At 41.3% G+C, this 24827-nt stretch overlaps 1 long non-coding RNA gene across 12 annotated transcripts in view; it reads right to left on the bottom strand.

Moving 5' to 3' along the window:
• LOC102724036 (uncharacterized) overlaps positions 1–24827 on the bottom strand; it is a 247231-nt gene that overhangs the window by 108371 nt on the left and 114033 nt on the right. For 9 of the 12 annotated variants that reach the window (XR_007061623.1, XR_007061626.1, XR_007061624.1 and 6 more), the window contains one exon: positions 9578–9670. The exons of 2 other annotated variants lie outside the window; for them this stretch is intronic. This is a non-coding gene — a long non-coding RNA (uncharacterized LOC102724036). The remainder of the gene's footprint in view (positions 1–9577; positions 9671–24827) is intronic. One more of the 12 variants, XR_007061628.1, reaches the window with a different exon arrangement.

The following is a 24827-nucleotide window of genomic DNA, read 5'->3' as shown; positions in this document are numbered from 1 at the left end:
GAATAATTTTATTTACTCTTAGAATGAGTTTTAGAGTCTGTTGCTTAAATAGTGTTAAAATGCTGCACATTCCCATCATGAATACAACAGTGAAACCTACAAGAGTCCACATATGGTCATCGCGAGTCAATGAGTTTACAGCAAATTTCCCAAACTGGTATTACACAGAACATTCTTTCAAATGGTATTTATGGATATGGTGTGGAAAAAAATTTTCTTAAATATTTGCTAAACACTGGGTCAAATTAAGTTGTGTGTGTGTGTGAGAGAGAGAGAGAGGAGAGGATTTGTCAGTTTTTTAAAAACTACTGGACTACTGACTTTAGTGGGTAAACAAGTGTTGTACCTTTTCAAAAGAAAAGAGTATGCTGCATTTCTCAAATATATTTGATCATGGAGCAAATTTTTCTTCCTATAGCTATTGAAGTCCCTAGATGAACATTTTGAAGACCACCATTTGGAAAAATGTTGAGTTACGTTCCGATTCTTCATAGAATATGTGTATTGTATGAAGTGTGGTATTTGGGATCATTGAAAATATTTGTTATCTGTCAACAATGAAATTTAAACAAACCATTGCTACTTGGGCGCTGGTTTACCTTTGCTTAAAGGCAAATTCCATATTTATACTTTTAGCATAATTCGATTTGGAACACTGCAACACAGGAAAACAACTAAGCCCCCCAGGGCAGTCACTGTGGAAACCTGTTAAAAAGGAGGTGGGGGAGAAAGGTAACTGTGGAAGCAAATTATTAAAATCTTCAAGATAAAATTATAAAAGATAAGTTCACAAATATGTTCAATAAAAATGCATGTCTACCAGTTACCTACCCTTTTCAAGTAAAGAGCAATAACGTGCTAAAGGAAAGCAGATGGAAAAGAATTTACATTTCTTTCTCCAAATTGTTATTAGAAATATAAAACTCAAAGGAGTCAATGAGAGGCTGGGTCATGCTCCCAGGCTATTGCTTTGCCAAATAACACAAAATACTGTCAACAATATCAATTTAATGTTCAGGAAAACATCACATTCTCAAATGAAAAGAAAAAAAGTAAAATGTACCATTCCATCGTAACTACGGAAAAAATACACTGATAAATTAAAGCTGCCATGGAGGTCCAAAGTATTATTCCAAATTACAAAGAGTGAATATGATACTCAAGATATGAAGCATACAAATGAGATATACTTGGTTGGCACCACAGTTCTTGAAGGGCAAATACCAGCTGGAGGTAGCAAAGATAACCAAAATTCCAATGGGAAAGGGCCATTGCACATTGAAAAGATGGAAAATATACAAGTGCCCACAGTGATATCTTTATTAAGAAAACCACTTACTATTTTCTAAATAAAAGGTATCCTTTTCAAATTAACATCCCTGGGCCGGGCACGGTGGCTCACGCCTGTAATCCCAGCACTTTGGAAGGCCGAGGCAGGTGGATCACCTGAGGCCAGGAATTCGAGACCAACCTGGCCAACGTGGTAAAACCTCATCTCTACTAAACACACACACACACACACACACACACACACACACACACACAAATAGCCAGGTGTGTTGGTGGGTGCCTGTAATCCCAGCTACTTGGGAGGCTGAGGCAGGAAATTTACTCGAACCCGGAGGTGGAGTTTGCAGTAAGCCGAGATCGCGCCATTGGACTCCAGCCTGGGCTACAAGAGCAAAACTCTTGTCTCAAAAAAAATAAAAAATAACATCCCTGGAGTAGGAGCCATTCATCTTCATAGATTGCAGATAAAATAACATACAGGCCGGATATGGTGGCTCATGGCTGTAATCCCAGCACTCCCAGTGGCGAAGGTAAGCAGATCACTTGCGGCCAAGAGTTCGAGACAAGCCTGGGCAACATGGTGAAACCCTGTCCCTACAAAAAATACAAAAATCGGCTGGGCATGGTGGCGCACACCTGTAGTCCAGCTGCCCAAGAGGCTGAGGTGGGAGGATCACCTGAGCCTGGGAGATGAAGATTGCAGTGAGCCATTATCACATCACTGCACTCCAGCCTGGAAATAGAGTGAGACCCTGTCTCAAAATAATAATTATCATAAAAATAATTTATAGACAGACCTCAAGATTGTGGTCATTGTTTGCCTACTAGATACTCTTTTGGACTATTTATTCTTTGAACTTTGAAAATCAAGTTTTAAGATTATCACGAAATGTGAAATGAAAGTATCAATGTCCTATTTTATGTGATAGCCATACATTGTGATCCAGGGCTATACTGAAGACAATTGTATGTATGTCTTCCCAACTCCATGTTCAGTGACATCAATGCAGAGATGGCTTGAAATCAAGCTGGGGTGGAAGTTTTTACACTACAGAAATTGACAAACACCAGAAATCAAGGTTTTATCTTTTCAGATAATCGATTGTCAGCACGACTCTGGTAATAACTTGTCAGCATAACTCTGGTAATAACTATTAGTGTTCTGGAATTCTCTTGATTATTGATAGCTAATATTTGTTTTCATTAAAATATTAAGGCTCTGATACTTGTACCTAGATTTACATTTAAGATATAACATGCAGGGATAAAAGTTATGATAAAAGATGTGGGTTCCCTCTACTATCTAGAGAGACACCCACACCTAAAGGATGCTGCTTATAACACACAGTACAAGAAATATCAAACTTCTCTGACCAGAGCCCAGGTGCCAGGGAAATCCTGGCTATAGTGCATTAACAAGAACAGGAAAAACTGCAGTGAGGCATAACAATGAAGTGTTTTGGAAAGAATTCTGAAAGTGTCATTGGGAAATACTAAGAACATGCCAATTGTAGTTTGCAAGTACCAATCACTAGTTAACCTTAGTAATTCGTTTAGTAAGGTTGCTGGTAAACAGAGCCACTGTGTGGGGGATTTGGTTTATGTAAACCTGCCAAAGAGGCAAGCAGGGACTGAAGTGCAATCTGCCCTCCACTTGCAAGCTGCCGGGCTACAGCCACCTAGTATCATACAAATTGACAAAGGTGTGTTATGTACTAAGGACTATCCTGACAGTAAATAGCCCTTGGTTATAGTTAAAAATAAAGGACTGGGCTAGGCGCAGTAGCTCACACCTGTAATCCCAGCACTTTGGGAGGCTGAGGTGGGTGGATCACCTGAGGTCAGGAGTTCAAGACCGGCCAACATGATGAAATCCCGTCTCTACTAAAAATACAAAACATTAGCCAGGCGTGGTGGCAGGTGCCTGTAAATCCCAGCTACTCAGGAGGCTGAGGCAGGAGAATCGCTTGAATCCAGGAAGTGGAGGTTGCAGTGAGCCGAGATCACACCATTGCCACTTCAGCCTGGGCAACAAGAGCAAAACTCTGCCTCAGAAAAAAAAAAAAAAAAAACAATATAATAAATAAAGGACTGTAGAATGGGAGTCATTCAAATATAAGATCAATAAACAACAACAAAAGACTTGCACTTTTCAATCAGGAGCCTTCTCTTGAGACCCCTACAAACTAGTTAGAACACTGTAAAAATCATTCTTGAGAATCCCAGCCAGGACAGCTCTCTTGCTGCGAGCTCTGATCTGACACATTTCTGCTCCTCCAAATACATAACAATGATAGACTTTTTTTTTAAAAGTAAAAAGAAGTCGCAGCCTGATTCTAACACAAGACAAACACGTCTGTAGACTAAAAACAGAAGAAAAATACAAACTGACAAGCAGAGCCAGAGCCCTGGCAAAGGAGTAAGCAAGAAGGGTGAGCGCAAAATGAGAGAGAAAAACGGATGGACAGCCAGGGAGCGGACAGGGGTAGATCTGCAGCTGTGGATGGCGAGTAGGGAGATGCTACAAAAGAAAAAAACCAGAATCCTCCACAAAATGGCAAGACAGAATGACAGTCACTGAGTTCTTCCAGCACAAGGAGGTTCATGTCACTTCTGGCAGAAGGATAGAAATTTTATATAACTTGCCATATTGTTAGAAAACTATTTTGTTAAATATGTATGTTAAAATGTTAGGAGTAACCACTAAAAGAAGTGTAATCTTTTAGCTTGCCAACCAGCAGAGGAGTGAAAAGGGAATATAGAAAAGTTTATCAGTCCATCTGAAGGCAGACAAAGAGCAAAAAGGAACACATTAGAAGAATGTGAATGAGCACAAAATCAAGTATAAAAAAATAAGTCCAGCCTCAGCAGTGCTTGCAATTAAACTTGCTATTAAAAGACAGCATTTATCTGAATGCATTTAAAATAAAAATATGAGCTGGTTACCAAAAGCATATCTGAAACAAAATCATATGGAAAAGCATAAAATTAGAAGGAATATATATTTTTTCCAAGAAAATATCTAGCCAAAATAAAGCTAATATAACAATATTTGGATAAGATAAATAGAAGTTAAGAGAAAAAGCATTGAGAGGGATAAAGAGGAACCTTACTTAATAGTGACTAGAACAATTTACCAGGAAAATATAAAAACTATGAATTTGTATGCAACTAACAGCATAGCCTAATGTGTGTGTATTATGTGTGTATATACACATATATACATATATACACATATACATATATACACATATATACACACATGCGCACACATTAGGCTATGCTATTAGTTGCACACAAATTCATAGTTTTTATATTTTCCATTTATATATGTGTATATACATATATACACATATATACACACACATTAGGCTATGCTATTAGTTATACATGTACATATATGTATATATGTACACACATATACACACACATTAGGCTATAAGTTGCGTACAAATTCATAGTTTTATATATACATACATATATATATATCTCAAAACTAATAGAATGTCAAGAAGAATTTGGCAAATATATAATCATGGTAGGTGATCTTAACACTCTCTGATAGATACAGCAGACTAAAGGTACAGAAAATTTAAATGACAAAATTAACATGCCTGATCTAAAGGATATATAACTCTGCACTAGCAGAAAACATACAATCTCTTCAAGTAAACATGGAATATTTACAGAAACATACCATGTACAAGGTAACAAAGAAGACCTCAACAAATTCAAAGAATAGATGTCATATAAGCAATGTTCTCTCACAATAAGGCGGTTAAATTAGAAAGAAATAAAAAGATAATTTAAAACAAAAAGAATCACCCCTAGAGTAGGAAGGAAAAAATGGGCCATGCACTCTAAGATATAGACAGTTGAATCCCAGGTCTAACACTTGCCCGCTGAAAGTCCTTGAACAAATCACTTAACCTCTCTGGGCCTTGGTTTCTTCATATGCTATATGATTGTAATATCTCTCTCACACAGATTAAAGGAGGAAATAATCTGTAAAAGCACCTAGCACAGTACTTGGCAGAAACTCAAATACTAGTTTCAGTCCTTGTACATAATGTGTGTTTAATAAATATCAATTGAATTAATAAATGAATACCAAGTGGAGATAAATATACATTCTTTTGCAAACAGAACATATAATAAATTTAATTAATCCACAAGGTCCTATTTTAAACAGAGAGAAGGAAAAATATGACACATTCTATGTTTCTAATTATCCTCTGATTCGAAAAGAAAGAAAAGATTTTGTCTGGACGTCTGGAAAATCTGATGCCACATCCTGTTTGTCCCTCTCATGCTAATTTTTATAATCGCTTCAGATCATGAGGTCACTTTGTCCAAATAAAAAAAGGCTTCACTTGTAAAAGAAGAGAAGCTCAGAGGGCAATGCCTAGTATCTTGCAGGCCGCATCACCAGCTGTTTTCAAGAGACCCAACAAAATTTGAAGGGGACCCAACACATTTCAATGAGCATAAATCAGCTAGATAGAAGAGAGAATTTTCTTGACAGTAAGTTACCACTCCATTGCATCAGGCAGGGGTTTGTGTGATCTCCTTCCAAGTGTGACATTTCCAGATGTCCTGAACTTGATACAGGCTATGTAGAAAGCTAAGATCCACCCAACGTGCAGCTGTGATAGCTAATGAGGTGTGTGCAGGGGTATAGCACATAGACAGCCTTCATCGCTCTCTATACTCTTGTTGGCTCCCCTCCCTAGAAGGTTTTCAACAGTGTAGTTTGGTTGCTTCATTTCTATGGGACTCAGAGGAAAGATTTTCTGCTCTCTTCATTGTGTCACTAGTGCCAAGGACTTTTCAATTTAATTGTTATATGAAGCATGATATCTCCAAGGCCAATCTCAAGACTTTGGTCAAAGGGAAAAGTGTTTCCAGATCACAGTGAAACATGGCCTTGGTGACAAAGCTGACAATAACAGGATGAACATTTCAGAAATTCAGCACTACTACCAGGAAAACATGATTTATAAGCTATGAATGCTCATATTTCATATTTACCTGAAAAGCACAACATCTTGCTTTTATTCCCACTAAAAATCCTAAATATTTCTGAGGCATCAGAAAATATGGCCTAATGTGGGAGAAAAATTAGGACTAGCTAAATCAGCCTTATACCAAAATAAATTTAAGGTAGATTTGAACATTGAATATAAAATTAATATAGGTAAATGCTTTTATATTCTTAATGTAGAAAAGAACTTCATAAGCTTAAGATCAAATGCAGAATCTAAGGGAAAAACTGACGTGTTTAAAAACATTAAATTCTAAACATTTGTACAGTTAGAAAAATCATACATAAAATCAAAGACAACAAATAGAAAAAATAGTTTTAACATCTATGACAGAGAGTTCATATTTTCAACATATAAAAAGCACTTATAACCAAAAAGAAAATGAAAAATTTATGAATAAGGCTTCAAAAGCAAAATGCAAGAAAAACAAAAATAGACAAATGGTACTTAATTAAACTTGAAAGCTTCTACATAGCAAAAAAAAAGAAAAAAAATCAACAGAGTAAACAGGCAACCTACAGAATGGAAGAAAATATTTGCAAATTATGCCTCTGATAAAGGACTAATATCCAGAATCTATAAGGAACACAAACAACACAAGAAAAAAACAACCCCATTAAAAAGTGGGCAAAGGACATGCATAGACATTTCTTAAAAGAAGACATACAAGTGGCCAACAAACATATGAAAAAATGCTCACCAGTAATCATCAGAAAAATGCAAATTAAAACCACAATGAGGTATCATCTTATACCAGTCAGAATGGCCATTATTATGAAATCAAGAAACAACAGATGTTGCTGTGGATGCACAGAAAAGAGTATACTTATAAGCTGTTAGTAGGAATGTAAATTAGTTTTATCTCTATGGAAAACAGAACGAACATTTCTCAAATAACTAAAAATAGAACTAGCCAGGCACAGTGGCTCACGCCTGTAATCCCAGCACTTTGGGAGGCCAAGCAGGCAGATCATGAGGTCAGGAGATCGAGAATATCCTGGCTAACATGGTGAAATCCCATCTGTACTAAAAATACAAAAAATTAGCCAGGCATGGGGGCACGTGCCTGTAGTCCCAGCTACTTGGGAGGCTGAGGCAGGAGAATCGCTTGAATCCAGGAGGTGGAAGCTGCAGTGAGCCAAGATCATGCCACGGTTCTCCAGCCTGGGTGACAGAGCAAGACTCTGTCTCAAAAAAAAAAAAAAAAAAAAAAAAAGAACTACCATTTAACCCAGCAATCATATTACTGGGTATCTACCCAAAGAAAAAGAAATTACTATACAACGAAAACACAATTGCGCTCATAAATTTGTCAAAACACTATTCACGATAACAAAGTCACAGACTCAACCTAAGTGTCCATCAGTAGGTGATTGGATAAAGAAAATGTGGTATATATACCATGGAATACTATGCAGCCATAAAAAAATCATGTTTTTTACAGCAACATGGATGGAGCTGGAGGCCATTATCCTACATGAAATAACTCAGAAGCAGAAAGCAAAATGCCACCTGCTCTCAAGTGGGAGCCAAACAATGGGTACACATGAACATAAAAGTGGAAACAATAGACAATGGGGACTTCAAAAGTGAGGGAGGCTGAGAGGAGGATAAGGGTTAAAAAATTTCCTATTGGGAACAATGGTCACTATTTGCATAACAGGTACACTAGAAGCCCAACTCGGCTGTTACATAACATATCCATGTAACAAACATCTACATGTACCCACTGAAACGACAATAAAATAAAATGTAAAATGAATTAATAAAAAAAAATGGAAAATGGGCATAAATAGTCACTTCCCAAAGGAAGACATACAAATGACTAGTAAACACAACTGAGAAAAGTACTACTTTAATAGTAAACAAGGAAATGCAAATTAAAAGAATAAAATATAAATTTATTATTTTTCTTTTTTAAATTTTACTTAACACATTGGTAAAAATTTGAGTGAACACTCAATGTCACTGATCCAACATTGCTATGTATTTGGGGAAACAAGCACTCTTTTACTGGGTGATGAAAGTGAAACAGCAATGCAATTGGGATGGGGGAAAGAATTGACAAAATCCATTAATATATTAAAATCCCTAAAAACAAGAATACTTTTTGATCAAAGAATTTCATTTCTAGGAGTTATCCTAAGAAAATAATCAAGCAGGAGTGCCTGAATTTACCTTTAATCATCTCAGGCTTGTTTATAATAGCTATAAATCAAACAATGGAAGTGTTATTCAACAGTGGAACTTCTAAGGAAATTGTGAGACACACCCAATAAAGCACTCTGGAATAATTAAAAATGAAGGCATACGAAGAGGCAAAGCAACATAGCTAAATAGAAGCCTCCACCTATCATCTTTCTCACAGGAATACCAACTTCAACAACTATCTACACAAAATTGCACATTCATAAGAACCAAAAATCAGATGAGCAATCATAGCACTTGGTTTTAACCTCATAGCACCGAAAGCAGCAGGAAAGAGGGTAGTTTGGCTTTAGTTGCCAAAGCTACCCTTCCCCTCTCTCCTGTTAGTGGCCACATGGCATGGAGAGAGAATCTGTGCAACTTGGGGAGGGAGAACACAGTGATTGTGGGACTTTGCATTGGAACTCAGTGCTGCCCTGTCACAGCAGAAAGCAATACTGGGCAAAACTCGGGCGTCGCCCATGGAGAGAACATTTAGAAAAGCCCTAGCAAGAGGGGAATCATCCATCCCAATGGTCAGAACCTGAGTTCTGGTAAGCCTCTCCACCACGGACTAAAGTGCTCTATGGGTCTAAAAAACCTTGAAGGGCAGTCTAGGCCACAAGGACTGCAACTCCTAGACAAGTCTGAGTGCTGTGCTGGGCTCAAAGCCCGTGGACTTGGGGAGCACATGACCTAGGGAGACACAAGTTGGGGTAGCCAAAGGAGTGCTTGTTCCAACTCTCCCACCAACCCCAGGCAGAACAGCTTGCAACTCTGAAAAAGACTTTCTCATTCCACTTGAGGAGAGGAGAGGGGTTTTGTCCTCCAACTTGGATACCAGCTCAGCCACAGTAGAACAAGGCACTAGGCAGGGTCATAATGTCCTCATTCTAGGCCCTACCTCCTGGACAACACTTTTAGACCCACTCTGGGCCAGAAGGGGAACCTACTGTCAGGAAGGGAAGGACCTAGTCCTGGTAGGACTCATGACTTGCTGACTAAAGAGCCCTTGGGCACTGAATAATCAATAGCAGTAGACAGGTAGTACATACCATGAGCTTTCGGTGAGACTCTGAGATGTGCTGGCTTCACATGTGACTCAGCACATGCATAGATGTGGTGGCTGTGGTGAGAGACTCCTTCTGCTTGAGAAAAGCAAAGGGAAGAGTAAATGGGACTTTGTCCTGCAGTTTAGGTACCAGCTCAGCCACAGTGAGGTAGAGCACCAAGTGGGCTTTTGGGGACCCTGATTCCTGGCCTTGGCTCTTGGTTAGCACTTCTGAACCAGCCCTGGGCCAGAGGGGAACCCACGGCCCTGAAGGGTGAATCCCAGGCATATAAGCATTCACCAGAAGCTGACTAAAGAGCCCTTGGGCCTTACATGAACATCAGTAGTGGCCTGGCAGTGCTCCCCATGGGCCTGTGGTGGCAGTGACCGTGGGGAGAGACTCTTCTGCTTGTGGAAAGGGTACAGAAGAGTGGGAAGGACTTTATCTTGTGGCTCGGGTGCCAGCTCAGCTGCAGTAGAATAGAGCAGCAGGTAGATTCCTAAGATTTCCAACTCCAGACCCTGGCTCCCAGACAGTATCTCTAGACCCACCTGGAGCCAGGGGGAGCTCACCACCCTGAAAAGACACTAGCCAGGCTGGCTTCACCACTACCTGACTGTAGAGCCCTAGGCATCGAGTGAACATAAGCAGTAGCCAGGTAATGGTTACAGTGAGCCTTGGTTGAGATCCAGTGCTCTGATGGTTTCAGGTCTGACACAGCACAGTCCCAGTGGTGGTGGCCACAGGGGAGCTTGTACCACCCCTCCAGCTCCAGGCAGCTCAGCCCAAAGAGAGTGAGTCTATTTATTTGGAAGTAAGTAAGAGAAAAGAACAAGAGTCTCTCCCTGGTAATCCAGAGAAATCTTCTGGATTGTACCCAAGACCACCAAGGCAATACCTCTACAAGTCTGTGAGAGCCACAGCATTACTGGGCTTGAAGTTCCCCCTAAATGTAGATATGGCTGCAGTGACCAAAAATGTAGATCACAACACCCAAGTCCCTTTGAATACCTGTAAAGTTTTCCCAACTTTACAGTTGGGAAACTGCAATAAATACCTTTTCAGGACTGCAATAAATACCTAACTCTTTAATGCCCAGACACTGAAGAACATTCACAAGCATCAAAACTATCCAGGAAAACATCACCTCACCAAATGAACTAAATAAGACACAAGGGGCTAACCCCAGAAAAACAAAGACCTTTCAGATAGAGAATTCAAAATAGCTGTGTTGAGGAAACTCAGTGAAACTTCCAAGATAGTAGAGAAGGAACTCAGAATCCTATCAGATAAATTTAACAAAAAGATTGAAATAATTAAAAAGGAAGAAGCAGAAATTCTGGAGTTGAAAAATGCAACTGACATACTAAAGAATGCATCAGAGTCTCTTAATACCAGAATTGATCAAGCAGAAGAAAAAACTAGTGAGCTTGAAGACAGGCTATTTGAAAACACAGTCAAAGACAAAAGAAAAAAAAGAATTTAAAAGAACGCAGCCTGTCTACAAGATCTAGAAAATAGCCTCAAAAGGGCAAATCTTCTTAGAGTCGCTGGCCTTAAAGAGGAGGTAGAGAAAGAAATGGGGGTAGAAAGGTTATTCAAAGGGATAATGACAGAGAACTTCCCAAGCCTAGAGAAATACATCAATATTCAAGTATAAGAAGGTTATAGAACACCAAGCACATTTAACCCAAAAAAGATAACCTCAAGGCATTTAATAATCAAATTCCCAAGGGTCAAGGTTAAAGAAAGGACCCTAAAAGCAGTAAGAGAAAAGAAACAAATAATGTACAAAGGAGCTCCAGTACATCTGGCAGCAGACTTTTTAGTGGAAATCTTACAGGCTGGGTGAGAGGGTATGACATATCTGAAGTGCTAAAGGAAAAAAACTTTTACCCTAGAATAGTATGTCTATATAAAATCTGCTTCAAATATGAAAGCAAAATAAAGACTTTCAAGACAAACAAATGCTGGGGGATTTTTATCAACACCAGACTTGTCCGTCAAGAAATACTAAAAAGAGTTCTTCAATATGAAAGAATAATAATCTGAAAAGACATTAATGAGCAATAAGAAATCATCTGAAGTTATAAAACTCAAAGTACAGGCCAGGCATGGTGGCTCATGCCTGTAATCCCAGCACTAGGGATCAGGCCGAGGCGGGCAGATCACCTGAGGTCAGGAGTTCAAGACCAGCATGACCAACATGGAGAAACCCCATCTCTACTAAAAATATAAAAATCAGCCTGTAATCTCAGCTACTTGGAAGGCTGAGGCAGAAGAATTGCTTGAACCAGGGAGACAGAGGTTGCAGTGAGCTGAGATGGTGCCACTGTACTCCTGCCTGAGTGACAGGGGGAGACTCCATGTTAAAACAAAACAAAACAAAAAACCTCAAAATACACAGAAAAAAAGAATATTATAACACTGTCATTATGATATGTATGATGTGGAAACTACTCATATCCTGAGTAGAAGACTAAAAGATCAACTGATCAAAAATAACTACAACTTTTTAAAACATAGATAACATGATAAGATATAAATAGAAAAAACAAAAGTTAAAAGTTAAAGAGTAGGCGGATGAAGTTAAAGTATAGAGTTTTTATTAGTTTTCTCTTTGCTTGCTTCTTTGTTTATGCAATCAGTGTTAACATGTCATCAGTTTAAAATAATGGATATAAGATATTATTTGCAGCCCTCATGATAACCTCAAATCAAAAGACATACAAGTTCATTAAAAATAAAAAGCAGACACCTAGAAAATCGGATCACCCCCACTGTAATACTGCGCTTTTCCAACGGTCTTAGCAAACAGCACACAGGAGATTACATCCCACGCCTGGCTTGGAGGGTCCCAGGCCCATGAAGCCTCGCTCACTGCTAGCACAGCAGTCTCAGATCGAACTGCAAGGCAGCAGCGAGGCTGGGGGAGGGGCGCCCACCATTGCTGAGGCTTGAGTAGGTAAACAAAGCCACCAGGAAGCTCGAAATGGGTGGGGCACACCACAGCTCAAGGAGGCCTGCCTGCCTCTGTAGACTCCACCTCTGGGGGCAGGGCAAAGCCGAACAAAAGGCAGCAGAAACCTCTGCAGACTTAAATGTCCCTGTCTGACAGCTTTGAAGAGAGTGGTGGTTCTCCCAGCACAGAGTTTGAGATCTGAGAACGGACAGACTGCCCCCTCAAGTGGGTCCCAGACCCCTGAGTAGCCTAACTGGGAGACACCCTCTAGTAGGGGCAGACTGACATCTCACATGGCCAGGTACCCCTCTGAGATGAAGCTTCCAGAGGAACTATCAGGCAGCAACATTGGCTGTTCAGCAATATTCACTGTTCTGCAGCCTCCGCTGCTGATACCCAGGCAAACAGTGTCTGGACTGGACCTCCAGCAAACTCCAACAGACGTGCAGCTGAGGGTCCTGACTGTTAGAAGGAAAACTAACAAACAGAAAGGACATCCACACCAAAACCCCTTCTGTACGTCACCATCATCAAAGACCAAAGGTAGATAAAACCACAAAGACGGAGAAAAAACAGAGCAGAAAAGCTGAAAATTCTAAAAATCAGAGTGCCTCTCCCCCTCCAAAGGAACGCAGCTCCTCACCAGCAACGGAACAAAGATAGATGGAGAATGACTTTGACGAGTTGAGAGAAGAAGGCTTCAGATGATCAAACTTCTCTGAGCTAAAGGAGGAAGTTTGAACCCATCGCAAAGAAGCTAAAAATCTTGAAAAAAGATTAGACGAATGGCTAACTAGAATAACCAGTGTAGAGAAGTCCTTAAATGACCTGATGGAGCTGAAAACCATGGCACAAGAACTACGTGACGAATGCACAAGCTTCAGTAGCCAATTTGATCAACTGGAAGAAAGGGTATCAGTGAATGAAGATCAAATGAATGAAATGAAGCAAGAACAGAAATTTAGAGAAAAAAGATTAAAAGAAACGAACAAAGCCTCCAAGAAATATGGGACTATGGGCTGGGCACGGTGGCTCACGCCTGTAATTCCAGCACTTTGGGAGGCCGAGGCGGGTGGATCAGGAGGTCAGGAGATCGAGACCATCCTGGCTAACATGGCAAAACCCCGTCCCTACTGAAAATACAAAAAAATTAGCTGAGCGTGGTGGCAGGTGCCTGTAGTCCCAGCTACTCGGGAGACTGAGGCAGAAGAATGGCGTGAACCCGGGAGGCGGAGCTTGCAGTGAGCCCAGTTCACGCCACTGCACTCCAGCCTGGGTGATAGAGCAAGACTCTGTCTCAAAAAAAAAAAAGTGAGACTATGTGAAAAGACCAAATCTACATCTGACTGGTGTACCTGAAAGTGATGGGGAGAATGGAACCAAGTTGGAAAACACTCTGCAGGATATTATCCAGGCGAACTTCCCCAATCTAGCAAGGCAGGCCAACATTCAAATTCAGGAAATACACAGAATGCCACAAAGATACTCCTCAAGAAGAGCAACTCCAAGACACATAATTGTCAGATTCACCAAAGTTGAAATGAAGGAAAAAATGTTAAGGGCAGCCAGAGAGAAAGGTAGGGTTACCCACAAAGGGAAGCCCATCAGACTAACAGTGAATCTCTCAGCAGAAATTCTACAAGCCAGAAGAGAGTAGGGGCCAATATTCAACATTCTTAAACAAAAGAATTTTCAACCCAGAATTTCATATCCAGCCAAACTAAGCTTCATAAGTGAAGGAGAAATAAAATCCTTTACAGACAAGCAAATGCTGAGAGATTTGGTCACCACCAGGCCTGCCCTAAAAGAGCTCCTGAAGGAAGCACTAAACATGGAAAAGAACAACCAGTACCAGCCACTGCAAAAACATGCCAAATTGTAAAGACCATCGATGTTAGGAAGAAACTGCATCAACTAACGAGCAGAATAACCGGCCAACATCATCATGACAGGATCAAATTCACACATAACAATATTAACCTTAAATGTAAATGGGCTAAATGCTCCACTTAAAAGACACAGACTTGCAAATTGGATAAAGAATCAAGACCCATCAGTGTGCTGTATTCAGGAGACCCATCTCACGTGCAGAGACACACATAGGCTCAAAATAAAAGGATGGAGGAAGACCTACCAAGCAAATGGAAAATAAAAAAAGGCATGGGTTGCAATCCTAGTCTCTGATAAAACAGACTTAAAACAAACAAAGATCAAAAGAGACAAAGAAGGCCATTACATAATGGTAAAGGGATCAATTGAACAAGAAGAGCTAACTATCTTAAATATATATGCACCCAGTACAGGAGCACCCAGACTCATAAAGCAAGTCCTTAGAGACCTACAAAGAGACTAAGACTCCCACACAATAATAATGGGAGACTTTAACACCCCACTGTCAACATTAGACAGATTAACAAGACAGAAAGTTAATAAGGATATCCAGGAATTGAACTCAGCTCTGCACCAAGCGAACCTAATAGACATCTACAGAACTCTCCACCCCAAAGCAACAGAATATACATTCTTCTCAGCACCACATCGCACTTATTCCAAAATTGACCACATAGTTGGAAGTAAAGCACTCCTCGGCAAAAGTAAAATAACAGAAATTAAAACAAACTGTCTCTCAGACCACAGTGCAATCAAACTAGAACTCAGGATTCAGAAACTCACTCAAAACCACTCAACTACATGGAAACTGAACAACCTGTTCCTGAATGACTACTGGGTACATAACAAAATGAAGGCAGAAATAAAGATGTTCTTTGAAACCAATGAGAACAAAGACAAAACATACCAGAATCTCTGGGACACGTTTAAAGCAGTGTGTAGAGGGAAATTTATAGCACTAAATGCCAACAAGAGAAAGCAGGAAAGATCTAAAATTGATACCCTAACATCACAATTAAAAGAACTAGAGAAGCAAGAGCAAACACATTCAAAAGCTAGCAGAAGGCAAGAAATAACTAAGATCAGAGCAGAACTGGAGGAGATAGAGACATGAAAAACCCTTCAAAAAATCAATGAATCCAGGAGCCGGTTTTTTGAAAAGATCAACAAAATTGATAGACTGCCAGCAAGACTAATAAAGAAGAAAAGAGAGAAGAATCAAATACACACAATAAAAAATGATTAAGGAGGTATTACCACCGATCCCACAGAAATAAAAACTACCATCAGAGAACACTATAAACACCTCTATGCAAATAAACTAGAAAATCTAGAAGAAATGGATAAATTCCTGGACACATACACCCACCCAAGACTAAACCAGGAAGAAGTTGAATCCCTGAATAGACCAATAACAGGCTCTGAAACTGAGGCAATAATTAATAGCCTACCAACCAAAAAAAGTCCAGGACCAGATGGATTCACAGCTGAATTCTACCAAAGGTACAAGGAGGAGCTGGTACCATTCCTTCTGAAACTATTCCAATCAACAGAAAAAGAGGGAATCCTCCCTAACTCATTTTATGAGGCCAGCATCATCCTGATACCAAAGGCTGGCAGAGACACAACAAAAAAAGAGAATTTTAGACCAATATCCCTGATGAACATTAATGCAAAAATCCTCAATAAGATACTGGCAAACCAAATCCAGCAGCACATCAAAAAGCTTATCCACCATGTTCAAGTGGGCTTCATCCTTGGGATGCAAGGCTGGTTCAACATATGCAAATCAATAAACATAATCCAGCATATAAACAGAACCAAAGACAAAAACCACATGATTATCTCAATAGATGCAGAAAAGGCCTTTGACAAAATTCAACAGCCCTTCATCCTAAAAACTCTCAATAAATTCGGTATTAATGGGATGTATCTCAAAATAATAAGAGCTATTTATGACAAACCCACAGCCAATATCATACTGAATGGGCAAAAACTGGAAGCATTCCCTTTGAAAACCGGCACAAGACAGGGATGCCCTCTCTCACCACTCCTATTCAACATAGTGTTGGAAGTTCTGGCCAGGGCAATCAGGCAAGAGAAAGAAATAAAGGGTATTCAATTCGGTAAAGAGGAAGTCAAATTGCCCGTTTGCAGATGACATGATTGTATACTTAGAAAACCCCATCGTCTCAGCCCAAAATCTCTTTAAGCCGAGAAGCAACTTCAACAAAGTCTCAGGATGCAAAATCAATGTGCAAAAATCACAAGCATTCCTGTACACCAATAACAGACAAACAGAGAGCCAAATCATGAGTGAACTCCCATTCACAACTGCTTCAAAGAGAATAAAATACCTAAGAATCCAACTTACAAGGGATATTAAGGACCTCTCAAGGAAAACTACAAACCACTGCTTAATGAAATAAAAGAGGACCCAAACAAATGGAAGAACATTCCATACTCATGGATAGGAAGAATCAATATCGTGAAAATGGCCACATTGCCCAAGGTAATTTATAGATTCAATGCCATCCCCATCAAGCTACCAATGGCGTTCTTCGAAGAATTGGAAAAAACTACTTTAAAGTTCATATGGAACCAAAAAAGAGCCCGCATTGCCAAGACAATCCTAAGCCAAAAGAACAAAGCTGGAGGCATCACGCTACCTGACTTCAAGCTATACTACAAGGCTAAAGTAACCAAAACAGCATGGTACTGGTACCAAAACAGAGATATAGACCAATGGAACAGAACAGAGGCCTCAGAAATAATACCACACATCTACAACCATCTGATCTTTGACAAACCTGACAAAAACAAGAAATGGGGAAAGGATTCCCTATTTAATAAATGGTGCTGGGAAAACAGGCTAGCCATATGTAGAAAACTGAAACTGGATTCCTACCTTACACCTTATACAAAAATTAATTCAAGATGGATTAAAGACTTAAAACGTTAGACCTAAAACCATAAAAACCCTAGAAGAAAACCTAGGCAATACCATTCAGGACATAGGCATGGACAAGGACTTCATGTCTAAAACACCAAAAGCAATAGCAACAAAAGCCAAAATTGACAAATGGGATCTAATTAAACTAAAGAGCTTCTGCACAGCAAAAGAAACCACCATCAGAGTGAACAGGCAACCTACAGGATGGGAGAAAATTTTTGCAATCTACTCATCTGACAAAGGGCTAATATCCAGAATCTACAAGGAACTTAAACAAATTTACAAGCAAAAAAAAACAACCCCATCAAGAAGTGGGCAAAGGATATGAACAGACACTTCTCAAAAGAAGACATTTATGCAGCCAACAGACACACGAATAAATGCTCATCATCACTGGCCATCAGAGAAATGCAAATCAAAACCACAATGAGATACCATCTCACACCAGTTAGAATGGTGATCATTAAAAAGTTAGGCAACAACAGGTGCTGGAGAGGATGTGGAGAAACAGGAACAATTTTACACTGTTGGTGGGACTGTAAACTAGTTCAACCATTGTGGAAGACAGTGTGGCAATTCCTCAAGGATCTAGAACTAGAAATACCATTTGATCCAGTGATCCCATTACTGGGTATATATCCAAAGGATTATAAATCATGCTGCTATAAAGACACATGCACATGTATGTTTATTGCGGCACTATTCACAATAGCAAAGACTTGGAACCAAGCCAAATGTCCATCAACGATAGACTGGATTAAGAAAATGTGGCACATATACACATTTTCTATGTGTATATGCACATAGAATGCAGCCATAAAAAAGGATGAGTTCATGTCCTTTGTAGGGACATGGATGAAGCTGGAAACCATCATTCTCAGCAAACTATCACAAGGACAAAAAACCAAACACCGCATGTTCTCACTCATAGGTGGGAATTGAACAATGAGAACACTTGGACACAGGAAGGGGAACATCACACACTGGGGCGGGTCGTGGGGTGGGAGGAGGAGGGAGGGATAGCATTAGGAGATACACCTAATGTAAATGATGAATTAATGGGTGCAGCACACCAACATGGCACATGTATACATATGTAACAAACCTGCACATTGTGCACATGTACCTTAGAACTTAAAGTATAATAAAAATAAAATAAATAAAAACAAATGAGCAGAAAATTAAAACACACCATCTCAGAAAATCACCTTCACTAAAAGGAAGACAGGAAGAAAGAAAAAAAGCAAGAAAAGACCACAAAACAAGAAAACAACCAAATGGCAGAAGTAAGTCCTTACCTGTCAATAATGACATTGAATGTAAATAAACTAAGCTCTCCAATCAAAAGATATAGACTGGCTGAATGTATTTTAAAAACAAGATGCAATAATCTGTCGCCTACAAAAAACACGCTTCACCTATGAAAACACACAGAGACTGAAAATAAAGGGATAGAAAAAGATATTCCATACCAATGAGAACCAACAAAAGCAGGAGTAGCTGTACTTACATCAGACAAAATAGACTTCAATACAAAACTATAAAAAGAGACAGCATCTCTATATAATTATAAAGAGATCGATTCAGTAACAGGATATAACAATTGTAACTATATATGCACCTTGGAGCACTCAGATATATAAAACAAATATTATTAGAGCTAAAGAGAGAGAGAGAGACCCCCATAGAATAATAGCTGGAGACTTGCAGCATTGGACAGATCATCCAGAAAGAAAATCAACTAAGAAACATTGGACTTAATCTGTCCTATAGACTAAATTGACATTTACAGAACGTTTCCTCCAATAGCTACAGAATACACTATCTTCTCAGCACAGGGATCATTCTCAAGGACAGACCATATGTCAGGCCACAAAACAAGTCTTAAAACATACCAAGAAATAATAGTAAGTGTCTTCTCTGACCACAGTGGAATAAATCAATAACGGGAAATTTTGGAAACCATACCCACAGGTACGAATTAAGCAATGTGCTTCTGAATGACCAGTGGATCAATGAAGAAAAAAATTGAAAAATTTCTTGAAACAAATGATAATTGAAACACTACATACCAAAACATATGGGATGCAACGAAAGCAGTACTAAGAGAGAAGTTCTTAGCTATAAGTGCCTACATCAAAAAAGTAGAAAAACCTCAAATAAACAACCTAACAAGGCATCTTAAGGAACTAGAAAAGCAAGAGCAAACCAAACTCAAAATTAGTAGAACAAAAGAAATAGTAAAGATCAGAGTGGAAATAAATGAAATTGAAATGAAGAAAACAACAAAAAAGATCAGTGAAATAAAAAGTTGGTATTTCGAAAAGATAAACAAAATTGGCAAACTGTTACCCAGACTGAGAAAAAAAAAGAATAAATAAATAGAATCAGAGATGAAAAATGAGACATTACAACTGATACCACAGAAATTCAAAGGATCATTAGAGGCTACTGTGAGGAACTATATGCCAATAAATTGGAAAAGCTAGAAGTAGATAAATCCCTAGACACATACAACCTACAAAGACTGAACCATAAAAAAAAAAAAAATCCAAAACCTGAATAGACCAATAACAAGTAACAAGATCGAAGACATAATAAAAAGTCTCCCAGTAGAGAAAAGCCCTGACCTCAGTGGCTTCACTGCTGAATTCTACAAAACATTTAAAGAAGAATTAATGCTTTTGAAATACATTCTAAGAGGCCAATATTGCCCTGATACCAAAACCAAACACATATCAAAAAGAGAAAGCTGCAGGCCAGTATCCCTGATGAACTTTGATGCAAAAATCTTCAACACAATACTAGCAAATCAAATTCCACAACACCTTAAAATGATCATTTATGATGATCAAGTGGAATTTATTCCACGGATGCAAGGAGAGTTCAGTATACATAAATCAATCAATGTGATACATTATGTCAACAGAATGAAGGACAAAAACCATATAATCCTTTCAACTGATGTTGAAAAAGCATTTGATAAAATTCAACATCACTTTATGATTTAAAAAAAAACTGGGGTCTGCCTCTGCCCTCTGGCTCTCCGTCTCCCTCTTTCTACGGTCTCCCTCTCTTGCGGAGCCTGGACTGTACTGCCATGATCTCGGCTCGCTGCAACCTCCCTGCCTCGGGCTCCGGTGATTCTCCTGCCTCAGCCTGCTGAGTGCCTGGGATTCCAGGCACACACCACCACTCCTGACTGGTTTTTGTATTTTTGGTGGAGACGGGGTTTTGCCGTGTTGACCGGGCTGGTCTCCAGCTCCTGGCCTCGGGTGATCTCCCCACCTCGGCCTCCCGAGGTGCTGGGATTGCAGACGGAGTCTCACTCACTCAATGCTCAATGTTGCCCAGGCTGGAGTGCAGTGGCATGATCTCAGCTCGCTACAACCTCCACCTCCCAGCCGCCTGCCTTGGCCTCCCAAAGTGCTAAGATTACAGCCTCTGCCCGCCTGCCACCCCGTCTAGGAAGTGAGCAGCGTCTCTGCCTGGCCGCCCATCGTCTGGGATGTGAGGAGCCCCTCTGCCCAGCCACCCCATCTGGGAAGTGAGGAGCGCCTCTGCCCGGCCGCCACCCTATCTAGGAAGTGAGGAGCATCTCTGCCCGGCCACCCCGTCTGGGAGGAAGAAGTGAGGAGCGTCTCTGCCCGGCTGCCCATCGTCTGGGATGTGAGGATCCCCTCTGCCTGGCCACCCCGTCTGGGAAGTGAGGAGCGCCTCTGCCCGGCCGCCACCCCATCTAGGAAGTGAGGAGCGTCTCTGCCCGACCGCCCATCGTCTGGGATGTGAGGAGCGCCTCTGCCCGGCCGCCCCATCTGGGAAGTGAGGAGCGCCTCTGCCCAGCCGCCCCGTCTGGGAGGAAGTGAGGAGCGCCTCTGCCCGGTTGCCCCGAATGGGAAGTGGGGAGCACCTCTGCCCGGCCGCCCTGTCTGGGAGATGAGGGGCGCCTCTGCATGGCCGCCCCGTCTGGGAGGTGAGGGGCGCCTCTGCCCAGCCGCCACCCCATCTGGGAAGTGAGGAGCGCCTCAGCCCGGCCGCCACCCCGTCTGGGAGGTGAGGGGCGTCTCTGCCCGGCCGCCCCGCCTAGGAAGTGAGGGGCACCTCTGCCCGGCCACCCTTCGTCTGGGAGGTGGGGAGCACCTCTGCCCGGCCACCCCGCCTGGGAGGTGAGGGGCGCCTCTGCCCGGCCGCCCCGTCGGGGAAGTGGGCACCTCTGCCCGGTCGCCCCATCTGGGAGGTGAGGGGCGTCTCTGCCCAGCCACCCCGTCTGGGAGGTGGGGAGTGCCTCTGCCCAGCCGCCCCGTCTGGGAGGTGAGGGGCGCCTCTGCCCGGCCACCCTGTCTGGGAGGTGAGGGCGCCTCTGCCCGGCCGCCCCGTCTGGGAGGTGAGGGGCGCCTCTGCCCGGCTGCCCTGTCTGGGATGTGGGGGGCGCCTCTGCCCGGCCGTCCCATCTGGGAAGTGGGGGGCGCCTCTGTCCGGCCGCCCCGTCTGGGAAGTGGGGGGCGCCTCTGTCCGGCCGCCCCGTCTGGGAAGTGGGGGGCGCCTCTGCCTGGCCGCTCTTCATCTTGGAGGTGGGGAGCGCCTCTGCCCGGCCGCCCCGTCTGGGAGGTGGGGAGCGCCTCTGCCCAGCTGCCCCGTCTGGGAGGTGGGGAGCACCTCTGCCCTGCCGCTCTTCGTCTGGGAGGTGGGGAGTGCCTCTGCCCTGCCGCTCTTCGTCTGGGAGGTGGGGAGTGCCTCTGCCCTGCCGCTCTTCGTCTGGGAGGTGGGGAGCGCCTCTGCCCGGCTGCCCCGTCTGGGAGGTGGGGAGCGCCTCTGCCCAGCCGCCCCGTCTGGGAGGTGGGGAGCGCCTCTGCCCGGCCGCCCATTGTCTGGGAAGTGAGGAGCGCCTCTGCCCGGCCGCCCCATCTGGGAAGTGAGGAGCGCCTCTGCCCGGCCGCCCCATCTGAGAAGTGAGGAGCGCCTCTGCCAGGCCGCCCTGTCTGGGAAGTGTACCCAACAGCTCCGAAGAGACAGCAACCATCGAGAATGGGCCATCATGACGATGGCGGTTTTGTTGAAAAGAAAAGGGGGAAATGTGGGGAAAAGAAAGAGAGATCAGATTGTTACTGTGTCTGTGTAGAAAGAAGTAGACATAGGAGACTCCATTTTGTTCTGTACTAAGAAAAATTCTTCTGCCTTGGGACGCTGTTAAACTATAACCTTACCCCCAACCCCCTGCTCTCTGAAACATGTGCTGTGTCAACTCAAGGTTAAATGGATTAAGGGCGGTGCAAGATGTGCTTTGTTGAACAGATGCTTGAAGACAGCATGCTCATTAAGAGTCATCACCACTCCCTAATCTCAAGTACCCAGGGACACAAACAGGGCCGAAGGCCGCAGGGACCTCTGCCTAGGAAAACCAGAGACCTTTGTTCTCGTGTTTATCTGCTGACCTTCTCTCCACTATTATCCTATGACCCTGCCACATCCCCCCCTCTGAGAAACACCCAAGAATGATCAATAAATACTTAAAAAAAAAAAAAAAAACAGGGTATAGACGTAACATACCTCAACATAATAAAAGCCATATATGAGAAACCAACAGCTAGTATCATACTTAATGGGAAAAAACTGAAATCCTTTCCTCTAAGATCTGGAACATGACAAGGATACACACTGTCACCACTGCTATTCAACATAGTACTCAAAATCCTGCTAGAGTAATGATACAAGAAAAAGAAATAAAGCGTACCCAAATTGAAAAGGAAGAAGACAAATTATCCTTATTTGCAGATGATATCTTACATTTGGAAAAACCTAAAGACTCCACTAAAAAACTGTTAGAACTTAAACAAATTAAAGTTGCAGGATACAAAAGCAACATACAAAAATCAGCAGCATTTCTATATGCCAGCAATGAACAATCTGAAAAAGAAACTTAAAGAGAAATTCCACTCATAATAGCCACAAATAAAATTAAATACCTAGGAATTAACCAAAGAAGTGAAGGATCTTTACAGTGAAAACTATAAAATATTGATGTAAGAAATTGAAGAGGACACAAAAAACGGAAAGATATTTTATATTCATGGATTGGAATAATTAATATTTTAAAAATATCCATAATACCCAAAGCAATCTACAGATTTAATGCAATCACTATCAAAATACCAATGATATTCTTCACAAAAATAGAAAAAACAATTCCAAAATTTATATGAACACACAAAAGACTCAGAATAGCCAAAGCTATCCTAAGCAAAAAAGAACAAAACTGGAGGAATCACATCACCTGACTTCAAATTATACAACAGAGATATAGTAACCAAAATAGCATAGTACTGGCATAAAAGCAGACACATAGACCAATGGAACAGAATAGAGAACCCAGAAACAAATTCATATATCTGCAATGAACTCATTAACAACAAAGGTGCCAACAACATGCATTGGGGAGGGGACAGTCTCTTTTATAGATGGTGCTGGGAAAACTGGATATACATATACAGAAGGATGAAACTAGATCCCTATCTCTTGCTATATAAAAAAATCAAATCAAAATTGACTAAAGACTTAAACCCGAGACCTCAAACTGTGAAACTACTAAAAGAAAATATTGGAGAAACTCTCCAGGACATTGGACTGGGCAAAGAGTTCTTAAGTAATACCCCACAAGCACAGGCAACCAAAGCAAAAATGGTCACATGGGATTACATCAAATTAAAAAGCTTCTGCACAGGAAAGGAAACAATCAACAAAGTGAAGAGACAACCCACAGAATGGGAGAAAATATTTGCAAACTATCCATCTGATAAGGGATTAATAACCAGAATATATAAGGAGCTCTAGCAACTCTATATGAAAAAATCTAATAATCCGAAACCATCATTCTCAGCAAACTATCGCAAGGACAAAAAACCAAACACCGCATGTTCTCACTCATAGGTGGGAATTGAACAATGAGAACACATGGACACAGGAAGGGGAACATCACACACTGGGGACTGTTGTGGGGTGGGGGGAGGGGGGAGGGATAGCATTAGGAGATATACCTAATGTTAAATGATGAGTTAATGGGTGCAGCACACCAACATGGCACATGTATACATATGTAACTAACCTGCATGTTGTGCACGTGTACCCTAAAACTTAAAGTATAATTTTAAAAAAATCTAAAAAAAAAATGGACAAAAGATCTGAATAGACATTTCTCAAAAAAAAGACATAAAAAGGACAGACAGGTATATGAAAAACTGCTCAACATTATTGATCATCAGAGAAATGCAAATCAAAACTACAATGAGATATCATTTCATCCAAGTCAAAATGCCTTTTATCCAAGACAGGCAATAACAAATGCTAGTAAGGATGTGGAGAAAAGGGAACCTTTGTACACTGTTAATGGGAATGTAAATTAGTACAGCCACAATAGTGAACAGTTTGAAGATTCCTCAAAAAAACTAAAAATA

Source organism: Homo sapiens, chromosome 9 (genome assembly GCF_000001405.40).
Source record: "Homo sapiens chromosome 9, GRCh38.p14 Primary Assembly".
In the NCBI taxonomy this organism is placed as follows: domain Eukaryota; kingdom Metazoa; phylum Chordata; class Mammalia; order Primates; family Hominidae; genus Homo; species Homo sapiens.
The sequence above is the reverse complement of the archived record's forward strand: the minus strand, read 5'-3'. Positions and strand labels throughout refer to the sequence as shown.